Here is a 12,366-nt window from a genome sequence, read left to right as displayed (position 1 = left end):
CTTTTTCCCTGGCTCTGTCTCCATTGGCTGAGCCCAGGGTGACGCGCGCTGAGTGGTGGGAGAAAGGGGGTGGGGCACTACCGCGAAGGCTGTCGGTACTCGTAGTTTCCGGCGGTCGCGGTGCCTTCTTCGAGGCACCGCCTCTCTCCCGCCCCCGACCGAGGCCTGGCTGCCGAGCGGAAAGCTGCCCGAGGGGGCGGTGGCGGCAGGGCGTGGCCGGGGCCGAGTGGGAGTTGAACTGAGCGAGGAGGAGGGGGAATGGGTGTTGTTTGCCTGGGCCTATCCGCCGCGCGGGGCTGCCCAAACCACCTCTGCCGCCGCCTCCTCGGCTCCAAGCCGCTCCCCGCGGGGCGAGCTCACACCCGGAGCGCTCGGCGATTGAGCGGGCGGCGGCGTGGGGAGGCGGGGTTTGCTGTCCTCGGGGTTTGAATGAACCCGGCTTCTTGAAGCAGCGCCCTCGCCTTGCCTTTCTTTGCTCACCTTCCCCTCAGGCCCCCTGCTTTGAGTCCGAGGCCTGTTTTCTCACGGAGAAGGATCTTCCATTTTTATTTGTTGTCTCTCTGGCTGGCAGCTGGTGCAGAGCAGTGACCCGCCTTCTAAGAAGGGTTGCATCGCGTTTTGCCTAAAAGCCTAAGTGGTTGGCGGAGTTCTAAGCCTTATCTGACAAGAGTCTCCGGGCGAAGAAAAGCCCAGCTCCATAAGGGTCAGCCCCGCTTACGGTGTAGCGTAAGCAAGCGTAAGGGCAAGTGGAATTAACATCTGGCTGCACAAAGCATCTTACTGTCAAATGCACTTGAGCAGTGTCCTGCCTCAGCTTTCCTACAAAGTCCTGAAGTCAGGATGATGCCATGGAACGTAATCAGCGCCTGATTAACTGTACCAAAGGTGGAAGTGACCCCACATGTAAATACTGGCCTTGGGAACAAGGCATGCTTACACCCCAGGCTCAAAGCCATTGTCTCACTTCTTACCTGGGCTTCACACTCAGCCTTGGGCATTTTTGTCTCCTGCCTGAGGCCTGACATGTTGCAATGGTGAGGAGGTCCCAGATGCTGAACTTGACTGGCATTTCCTTTGCTTGTTAAGGTAATTGCAAAATCAGCTGATGACAAAGCCATGCAGCAAGACAAAGCAATTCGAATAAAGAATTACATGGTATTGTCTACCCCATCTTATACAATGAGCCAGAGATCCCTGAACAACGTGCTTTTTCCCCATCGTGTACAATATAGAAAGCTCAAAAGTGCTTCTTACATTTACGTATATACTGTCTCTATCCTCAGGTCCCCTCCTCCTCCCAGTTCACCAAGATAAATGAAGACATTTTGCAGTCTTATGAATTGGGGCTTTCATTGTCGTTTTCGTTTGGAAAACCTGCTTCAGAGAGGCAATGTCACTGACTCTGAACCATAGATTAAAAATAATGCTTCGGGAGGCCGAGGCGGGTGGATCAGGGGGTCAGGAGTTTGCGACCAGTCTGGCCAACATAGTGAAACCTTGTCTCTACTAAAAATACAAAAAATTAGCCAGGTGTGGTGGTGTGCGCCTGTAATCCCAGCTACTCGCGAGGCTGAGGCAGGAGAATCGCGTGAACCCGGGAGGTGGAGGTTGCAGTGAGCTGAGATCACGCCATTGCACTCCAACCCCGGGCGACAGTGCAAGACTCCGTCTCAAAAAATATATAATAATAATAATAATGCTTACCATCAGTATGAATCTGCAAAGTCCTAAATATTCTCCACCCTATAGATAAGTGGGAATACTGGTATCCATGAAACATAAGTCCTGCTTTTTATGGTGGACCAAAGTCTTCTAGTCCCTGGCTGTTATGGACTGAATGTTTGTGTTCTCTGCCCCCTTCCCCATTCATGTGTTGAAATTCTACACGGGGCGCGGCTCACTCCTGTTATCCCAGCTCTTTGGGAGGCCAAGGCGGGCGGATCACTTGAGCCCAGCAGTTCCAGACCAGTTTAGGCAACATGGTGAAACCCAGGCTCTACAAAAATTAGCCGACGTGGTGGCGCTGTCCTGTAGTCCCAGCTTCTTGTGAGGCTGAGGCGGGAGGATCACTTGAGCCCAGAAGGCGGAGGTTGCATTGGGCCAAGATGGCACCAGTGCACTCCAACCTGGGCAACAGAGTGGGACTGTGTCAAAAAAAAAAAAAAAAAAAAGAAAGAAAAAAAAAGGGAGAGAGGGGAAAGGGAGGGAGGAAGGAAGGAAGGAAAAATTCTACCCCTTAGTGTGATGGTATTAGAAATTAGAAGGTAGGGTCTCTGGGAGATAATTAGGATTAAATTTGGAGTCCTCATGAATGAGATTGGTGACCTTAGAAGAATCAGGAAAGAGCTTGCTTTTCCTTCCTCTGCTCTCTTCTATTTGAAGATAACAACCAAAAGTCCTCAGTGTGATACCCGGTGGAAAGCGAGTTTTGCTAGGGAGGTAATATTGACAAAGACTCTCTCCTTTGACCAAACTTTAATCTGGTTATTCTAAGTCCTCTTTCTGACTAGGTCCTGACCTGGAACTCTGTCCTTAGTTTAGTGGCTTTGTTCATTTAGTCCAGTTTTAGCAAGAATCCTGCTGGGTTGGTTGGGTAAAAACGCCTCACCCTTAATATTTGACCATACTTGGTATCTCATCAAATTCCTTATCCCCTGTTCTCGATATCTTAGCACCCTGGCCTGCCTTCAGCAATAACCCCATTAAATTGGTTTAGCCAGAATCCTCCTTTATTCTGGAAATTTCCCCTTAGTAATTTTCCATCCACTGACTCCATCCTGCTCCTTGGCTTCAGATCTCTAGTTGTCTTTGTATTCATAGTTGAGCCCAATCTCTCTCTCCCACTGCAAGACCCCATTGGATAGTCTCTCCTTGACTAAAGTCTTTATTGCTGTCTTTAACAAGTATCCTGAATTATTTTTTTCTTCAACATTGTAAATATAAATTCAACAAAATACTCGGCCTCAGGCCTGCGAGGGTGGTCTTTTCCCTGAGGAAGCAGTCTAAAAACATTCCTTCCTATGCTCATTATTGCCTAGAAAACAGTGGCTTTCAAACTTTTAAAAAAATTATGACCCACAGAAATAAATATATTTTACATCATGGCTGGCCCAGTGTGTACTTTTTAAAAATTTATGACCCTGGGCCAGGCGCGGTGGCTTATGCCTGTAATCCCGGCACTTTGGGAGCCCAAGGTGGGCAAATCGCTTGAGTTCAGGAGTTCAAGACTAGCCTGGGTGAATCACTTGAGGTCAGGAGTTAAAGACCAGCCTGGCCAACATAGTGAAGTCCCATCTCTACTAAAAATACAAAAATTAGCCAGCCGTGGTGGCAAGTGCCTCGGGAGGCTGAGGCAGGAGAATCCCTTGAACCTGGGAGTCAGGGGCTGCAGTGAGCCGGGTGCTATAGTGAGCCGGGTGCTATAGTGAGCCGAGATCATGCCACTGCACTCCAGCCTGGGCGACAGAACAAGACTCCGTCTCAAAAAATAAAAAAAGGAATAAGTATATTTTACATATGGCCCAGTGTGTACACACACAGAGGAAATCAGCATTTGTATGTGAAATATTTAATGACACTAAGCACTGACCATTCAGCTCAAACACGTCCATAAAGCTGAAATAGTGTCCTAGAGGTAGAAGTCCTCTGCCACGAATTATCCTTGTAGTTGTGGAATTGAGAGATCCAGAGGGTTGGGGAACAATGAGGGGACTTGCCAAGGAGGGGACTTGGACACTAGTTCATGGCATAAATGAGAAAAAGGGACTGTATTTGAGTGTCTCTTTTAGGAAGTTTCTTTTTTTTTTTTTTTTTTGAGACGAAGTCTTGTTCTTGTTCCCCAGGCTGGAGTGCAATGGTGTGATCTTGGCTCACTGCAACCTCCGCCTCCCAGGTTCAAGTGATTCTCCTGCCTCAGTCTCCCAAGTAGCTGGGATTATAGGTGGCTGCCACCATGCCTGGCTAATTTTTGTGTTTTTAGAGAGATGGGGTTTCACCATGTTGGTCAGGCTGGTCTCGATCTCCTGACCTCACGTGATCCACCAGCTTCGGCCTCCCGAAGTGCTGAGATTACAGGTGTGAGCCACTGCCCCCAGCCAGGAAGCTACTCTTTAAATAACTGTTAAGCTGCTTCATTTTTTTTTTCTTTTTTTTTTTTTCCTAGCACCCTCCGAAAGTTATACAAATCATTTTGTATTTGGGAAGCAGATAGCAAAGATTTGGAGAGACCATAAACCAGAGAATAGTCAAAGCTTAACGTCCACCTTTGCTCAAAAGTGTATTAACTGAGAGTATAGCCAACCAGAAATTAGACACAGGACTCAGTGAACGTATTTCACTTAGAACAAATAGCCTCCTTAGTACATCTGGACCATGCATAGTTGTTACCATAATAAGGCCCTGGTAGAATATAAAATCACATTAAAAATAAATTCCTTAGCCAACAATAATTGTTTTCAGGAAGGAGAGAAAGTTTTAGAAAGTTTAAGTGTAATGTAATTGGGATATTCATATACATATATATATAACTGTCACTAGCAAGTGAATCAAGATAAACCTGCAGAGTGCTGTGTTTAGTAGATAAGTAGATGGCCTTGCTATTCCTCACATGCATGCATTTAGCTTTCTCATAGTCTGCCCATGTACAACTTCAGAGAAGATTTAATTCACAATTTTTAAATGTGTGAAGTTTATTATTTCAGCCCAGTTACATGTATAGTTAATTCACATTAGAACACAATTAATAGCTATTGGCAGTTATTGGAACATAGCATATACAACTGTTCAATATTTTCTATCAATCTATATGTGCAAAGGAGTATAATGTGGCTTATTATTGTTGCCATAAAAGATATTTGGTCAATGTGGACGTTAAGACATAGATGAATTAATTTCCCTAAGGTTATATATGAACTTGGTGATTGCCAAGTGCAGTGGCTCATTTCTGTAATCCCAACAGCTTGGGAGTCTGAGGTGGGAAGATCACTTGAGCTCAGGAGTTCAAGACCAGCCTGGGGTGATATAGTAACACCATGTCTCTAGAAAAACTAAAAAAAAAAAAAAAAAAAAAAAAAAGCTGGGTGTGGTGGCATGCACCTGTTGTCACAACTACTAAGGAAGCTGAGGTGGGAGGATCGCTTGGGCCTGGGAGGTTGAGGCTGCAGTGAGCTGTGATGATACCACTGCACTCCAGTCTGGGTGACAGAGCAAGACCCTGTCTCAAAAATAGATAAAAAATAAAGTTGACGATTTAAAATCATGAAAATATAGAGCAAAAATGCCTATTGTATTTACAATTGTAACTTTCCAAAATATGCCAATTCCAGATACTCAATTTATTATTTTTTCATTAATAATCTTTCATTGGATAAAACCACTCAGATTTATATTCTGGTCTGCTGCTTATTAAAAGTACAACCTTTGGGCAAGTGACTTCAACCCCTCTGAGCCTCATTCCTTCATTTATAAAACAGTGAAAATGATAATATTACCATCTCATGAGGTTGTTTCAGGAATTGAATGAGATTAAAAGATTTTTTAGAATAGTCTCTGGTAAACTCTCATTAAATGTTGGCTGTCATTTTAATCATTATTATTAATATTATTACTAAATTATGCTAGTTTCCACAAGCAGTACACAGAGGTGTATGAGTGAAAGGCCTCTCTATTCTATCTACCTCTATTCCAAACACTGAATTCATCAATGTTAACTGATAGTATATCCTTTCTCACTTTTCTCTAGTTTACACATATCATATATGTGTGTTTATGAGATTTTTAACATAAAATTGCACACACACACACACACACACACACACACAACATATATATGCAAACTTGGATTTTTTACCTTAATATATTATGGCCATCTCACCAGGTTAAAAAATATATAAATTGAAATTACTATTTTAATACAACATACTGTTCTGTGATATGAACATATTTTATTCAATAAAAATACCTGGATTGATAGCCAGTTTTCACCCTACCATAAATTGTAATAAACCATAAATTGTAATAAACTTAGTTACACCAGTACTTGTAAAAATATTCTTTTATGTTGTTACTTTTGTTTTACTAGAGAGGTTTCCAACAGTGGAATTGCTGACACAAAGTGGATATTTAAAATCTTAATATATACTGTAAGATTACTGCATGAAAAAGTTTTTTATTTCATATAGTCACCCAGTAAGTGTGAAAATGCTCATTTTCCTATAGTTTTACCAGCATAGATTATTCCAAACCTCATAAACTACTGCAGCTCTGATGGGTGAAGAATGTATTGACCTGGCTGCTAGAGGGGTTGAGCATCTTTGCATTTGTACAATTCCCACTGGCCATGTACAATTCCCACTGCAGCAAACTGCCTGTTCATATTCTTGCCTCTTTTATTTTTTATAGTATTATTTGTATTTCTCTTACCCATTTTCAGGAGCTAAGTGTATTTTGTAAGATTAAGGCTTTGCTTGTCATTTGTATTGCTAATATATTTTTCCAATATTTATTTATTTATTTGTGTATTTATTTAGAGATGGAGTCTCAATCTGTTGCCCAGGTTGGAGTGCAGTGGTGCAATCTGGCTCACTGCAGTCTCCGCCTTCCAGGTTCAAGCGATTCTCCTGCCTCAGCCTCCTGAGTAGCTGGGATTACAGGCGCCCACCACCACGCCCAGCTAATTTTTATATTTTTAGTAGAGATGGGGTTTCGACATGTTGGCCAGGCTGGTCTCAAACTCCTGACCTCAGGTGATCCACCCGCCTCAGCCTTCCAAAGTGCTGGGATTACAGGCGTGAGCTACTGCGCCCGGCCCCAATTTATTAACTTTTATCTTTTGCCACATATTTTGTATAATGTACTTTTAGCTCTATTTTAGAAAGGTTATTCTTAACCTAAATGAATGCTTTTCACAGTTTATTAAAACATATTTATATCCCAGCACTTTGGGAGGCTGAGGTGGGCGGATCACGAGGTCAGGAGTTCGAGACCAGCCTGACCAACATGGTGAAACCCCGTCTCTACTAAAAATACAAAAATTAGCTGGGTGTAGTGGTGTGTGCCTGTAACCCCAGCTACTCAGGAGGCTGAAGCAGGAGAATCGCTTGAACCTAGGGGGCGGAGGTTGCAGTGAGCCAAGATCACACCACTGCACTCCAGCCTGGGCGACAGAGTGAGACTCCATCTGAAAAACAAACAAAACAAACAAACAAAAACATGTTTATATATTATATACACAGGGATATGTTACCTTTTGTACTATTTAGGCAGCATCCACTATAATAGGAGTGGATAATTATTTTCTGCTTCCTCTACCTCCTACCCCTCCACCATAACCCCACCCATGCCCCTGGCATATGCACGTAAATCCTAAATGCCTAGAAGAATGCCTGGCCCATGGTAAGCATTTGATACATACTTACTGTGTCAATGAATTGTAAAGCTTTATTAGAACTACACAAATAAAATGGAGTTACCCCATCACAGCAAAATTACAGCAATTTTTCTTTTTATCAGATTTGGAAAATAAATGGAATGGCCTGAATTAAAACATAAACTATGAAATTCACTAAGAAGGGGGCTAGAGGAATGTATCCCAGAGGAAGCACTCCCAATATTATTAACAGATAGTCTCCCTAGCAGCTGCAGGCATTGATTTTTAATGATAGTTATGGATTCTCTTAACTATCCAAGGGCAGCCAGTGATAATAACATTCAGGTTCTATTTCCTGATTTATTTTCATTGATAATATTTTTCTTCTCTAAAGAACTTGAGTCATAGGTAATAAAATAGTAAAATATAAATTGAAATAGAAAATCAGTTCCAATGAAAAAGAGAAAACAAACATGACCAATAGTGTCAATGTATATGTTTCATCTGAGCTTTAATTTTGACCCTGAGCTTCCTAGCAGCCACAGCAAGTACAGAAACATGGTTGGTTGTGTAATTGCATATCAGAAAGAAAAAAATTGCCAGTTTCTCAGAGATAGCAAAGCATTTCCTAGCTCCAAAGACTGATAGCTATTTCATAAATGTCATTTGAATGTTAGGGCTATGACTTTGCCATTTCAGGCATTTAAAATGCTTGGAAGGGGGCACATGTTCTCAGGATCTCCTGAGGGCTGTGTCACAGGCAAAAAAATTGTTTAACCAAAAAATGCTTGGAAGAATTAATTGTATTAAATTTAGGAAAGTAGTTTGAACTAATTAATAAATTACATACATGAAATTATTTTTAAAATTTTTGTGTTTATTTTGAGATTAATAGAGCATTAAATCAAATATTGGGTAAAAATTATTATTTTATTCAAATACTTATAGACTTAAAAATTGACCAATAAGGTGTGAAAATTGGACTTGAAGGCCTGAGGAACAAAACTGTGACTTTAATAAATCGAATGTTAATTTAAAACCCAAGGGTCTGTAATTTTGTTATTCTAAACTGTTCAAAAGTCTCCCTTGGATCAGTCATACCCCAAATCTCAGCACCATGCAATATACCCATGTAACCAACCTACACATGTAACCCCCTGAATCTAAAATAAAAGTTGAAATTATTTGAAACAAAAAAGACAAAAGTTGCCCTGGGACATTTATAGAATTTATACCAACACCCTTAAAATAACTAAATGAATCAACTGGAAACTAGATATTTAAGAATATCTGCCATTGCAAGAGATTTTACTCTTTAGGTTTTAGTTTAATTCTGCTTTCTAATAACAAGAACAGTTGTGTACAAAGCCTACTCTGTTTTTTTATAACAGATTCTTAGTTTAAATACAGTAGTCAAACAAGGCTCAGAGGAACAAATATCAAGTTCATCTATAAGTGAATTCAAAGTTTAAAAATGAAGTATAAAGAAGATGGGAAGTATTCATTTTAAACTACTCAGGATTGTTTTCTGGTTTGTCAAGCCACTACCCTTTAAGCCCACTCATATTTTTGTGGGGCCATGAAAATACAAATTTTTTTAGAGTATCATTAATAGAGTTCATGCAGCTTGGCTAATAGCCATTCCAAAGTGAGTGAGGTCAAGTAGGGTAAAACTTAGCTGGCTTTGAAACCAGGCAAGCAAGGGCTACCATCTTAGTTCTCAAGTGAGTTACTTAACCTCTCAGAGTTTCCTCATTAGTATGTAAAAATCTTCATAATAATTTCTACCATATAGAGTTAGTAAGAAAGTTAAATAAGGTAATCTCGATGGCAGGTACTTAATAATTAATTTGAATTTCTTTCCTTCTGGTTTACAGTGTTTAAACCATCTTTCATGAAAATTAAACCTTGATTTTGCTGTTCCCCTGTATGTAGTGAGGAAATAATAGCTTCTGGGGTCATCAACCTTTTTGGACTTTAGGGTCTATATACATTTTTGTTTTTTAAAAGCAATTTACTATAAAGCTTACAGAAAGCAGTTCAAATTTAATGTAAGAGGGTGGGGAAGTCTCCTTTTATCTCCAAAACGATCTGAACTCTGAAGTTTACTAACTTCTAGACCTAAAAGACTTGAGTTTGTCTAACAAAAGGAAAAGGCATTAGGGAGATGAGAAGGGCTCTTTAAGGTAATGTAGAAGAAATGTAGGAGGAGAAGAAGGGCTGGGATGCAGGAGAAAGAGTGTGGCAAGGAGAGTAGCAAGATTGAAAACTGCAGGCATACATGGGTTGGCTTCCCTCCAAAGGGGCGTATCACCTGAGTGTGGCTTGTGCACTCAAGGAACATGATACAGGAGTTGGGGTGCTTCTCCATCTCTACACACCAGGGAAGGTAACGAGTTCCTAGACAAAACAGATGGAATATTGGGAAAAAAACAAAAACAGAAGGCAAAAGGTTGAGAGAACTCCGTGTAGAAAAGGACATAAATGGCAAATGTGACCAAAAAAGAAAAAAATACGTATAATTATCCTGTTCAATGAGCTCTGCCCACAAATATTTTTTTCCAAAGGTGGTAAGTGGTTTGAGAAAATTTGGGTTAAAGTATGATTATGAAAGGGGTTAATGTCTGTCATGCATCATAGACACAGTGGTGTTTTGTGCGAGGACACTTGTAGGTGTGCTGTCTTCTCAGATAATGTGTCTGGAATATGCCAAGAAGCCTTCTTGTTAAGTCCTGCCAAATCTTTGGCCAACTCCTGACAGATCATGTGAATGTGAACAACATAACCAAAAGAAAAGTAGGAAGTGTTTCTCAGGACTGTGAAGGCTGGGGTGGAAACAAAATCAGGGTACCATGTAATTGGGCAAGTTGCAACACGGAGTCAAATATAATATCAGTAATACATTTCCATAGTGATGAATGCAAAGTCTTCAACAAATTAGTATAGCAGTAGGGTTGCTTTGTTCTCTGTTAGTCAAGCCAAATCCAGAATGTTTTTTAAGAAGGACAGCAACAACTGGAAGAAAAGATGGGCCAGGATGGCAAGAGACGAGAATGGTTTTAAGGATGGTGGATGATTTTGGAAAGGGTACTGTAACAGTCTTCAAATATTTCAGGCCTATTCATGAAGAGGGATTAGGTTTACTTTAGGTACAGTAGATCCTCAAATAACGCTGTTTCATTCAACATCGTTTTATTGTAACACTGATGAGAAAAAGAAATGAATTCCCAGCAAGGCCACTCTGTGTGGAGTCTGCACGTGCTCCCCATGACTGTATGGGTTTTCTGCAGTCCTCTGGTTTTCCTCCCACATCCCAAAATTGTGCCCGTTAGGTGAATCGTCATATCTACATGGTCTTGGTGTGAGTGAGTGAGTGTGTGTGTGTGTGAGTGCACTCTGCCACAGGAAGGCATCCTGTCCAAGGTTAGTTCCCACCTTGGCTCTGAGCTTTGGGGATAAGCTCCAACCACCTTTGACCCTGAACTAAAATAAGCAGGTAAACATTACATTGTTTTATTAATCTTTCTTAAATGTATATGTAGCTCACATTTATTTCAATGTTTAATACTAGAAGTGTCTGGTCTTGCTCTGACCCCAGGCTGGAGTGCAGTGGCACGATCATGGCATTGTAGGCTGGAACTCCAGGGTTTAGGTGATCCTCCAGCCCCAGCCTCCCAAAGTGCTGGGATGACAGGTGTGAGCCACCATGCCTCGCCTGTTTGGGGTCTTTATTTAAGTTTGGCAATGTTTTTGTGACCAGAAATATGCCATGGAAACTTAACACTTGTTTATATGAATTAGCCTATGGTAAAATTGGTTTGTTGTTTCTCTTAAAGTCACAGTTTCCAAGAACCTATTGATGATGTTAAGTAAGGACTTACTGTAGTTTCAGAGGACTGAACTAAGATCAATAAATGGATGTTGGCAGGAGGTAGATTTTGGCACAATATAAAAAGAACTTCTGGGTTGGAGAAATGTTGGTAAAAGGATAAATAATTTAAATGCATAAATCCTAAAGAATGAGAATGATCTGAAATGAAACAAACTCCCTTGAGGCGGTGAACTCGTCTGAATCAGAGGCATTCAAGCACAGCCTCAACTATGACTTACTGGGAATGTTGTAAAAGAGGATTTATGCATCTGACAGCATCCAGACCCAAATTCTGTGGAGACCAAAGTTTTTAAGGTTGGGGGGCACTTTTTCCAAACAAAGGATACAAAATTATGAATAAAAATAGATACAGAGGCTTAGAAGGCACTTTTGCGAGTGAATGGTCCTTGAAACTTAAGCTTCAATAGCTTTGCAGTAAATTCATATCAAGGAAGTCAGTGGATATCAAACAACTGTGAGATTTAAATTGTTTCTAAATAATGAATAATTCTTCTTTTTTTTTTCTTTTTTTTTTTGGAGACGGAGTCTTGCTCTGTTGCCCAGGCTAGAGTGTGATGGCGTGATCTCGGCTCACTGCAACCTCCACCTCCTGGGTTCAAGCCATTCTCCTGCCTCAGCCTCCCAAGTAGCTGGGATTACAGGCACCCGCCACCATGCCTGGCTAATTTTTTTTGTATTTTTAGTAGAGACGGGGTTTCACTATGTTGGCCAGGCTGGTCTCGAACCCCTAACCTCGTGATCTGCCCATTTCGGCCTCCCAAAGTGCTGGGATTACAGGTATGAATAATTCTTCTTAATTTTAAAATAATTATCCTGTTATCTCTGAGACAGGTAGTGAAAAGAGAAAGGAAATGAAGTAAGACACACCTAGCTTCCTATCCTGCCTCAGCCAGGTAACCTGGGGCAAACTATGTGATCTCTTTGAGCCTCAATTCCTTTATCTGTAACATTGAAGTGATGATGTCTATCTTGAAATATTTGAGGGGAAAAATTAAATAAAAGTGTGTATGTAAAGCGCTGATATATAGAAGTTGTGCAATTCATGATAGCTAAACTGAAAGACTAATAAGATTTGGGTAGTCATAAGGATAAGATTTTTAAAGATGTC

The 12,366-nt window shown here is 41.0% G+C and overlaps 1 annotated feature.

Annotated features, from left to right (window-relative positions):
- Positions 83-472: a silencer, noted in NCBI's record as "silent region_17995". NCBI's record gives its function as "represses an Ori minimal core promoter by ATAC-STARR-seq in GM12878 lymphoblastoid cells {active_cell/tissue: GM12878}" and the evidence as "EXISTENCE:reporter gene assay evidence [ECO:0000049][PMID:35858748]".

This window comes from Homo sapiens, chromosome 7 (genome assembly GCF_000001405.40).
Source record: "Homo sapiens chromosome 7, GRCh38.p14 Primary Assembly".
NCBI lineage: Eukaryota > Metazoa > Chordata > Mammalia > Primates > Hominidae > Homo > Homo sapiens.
This window is presented reverse-complemented; position numbering and strand designations above follow the sequence as displayed.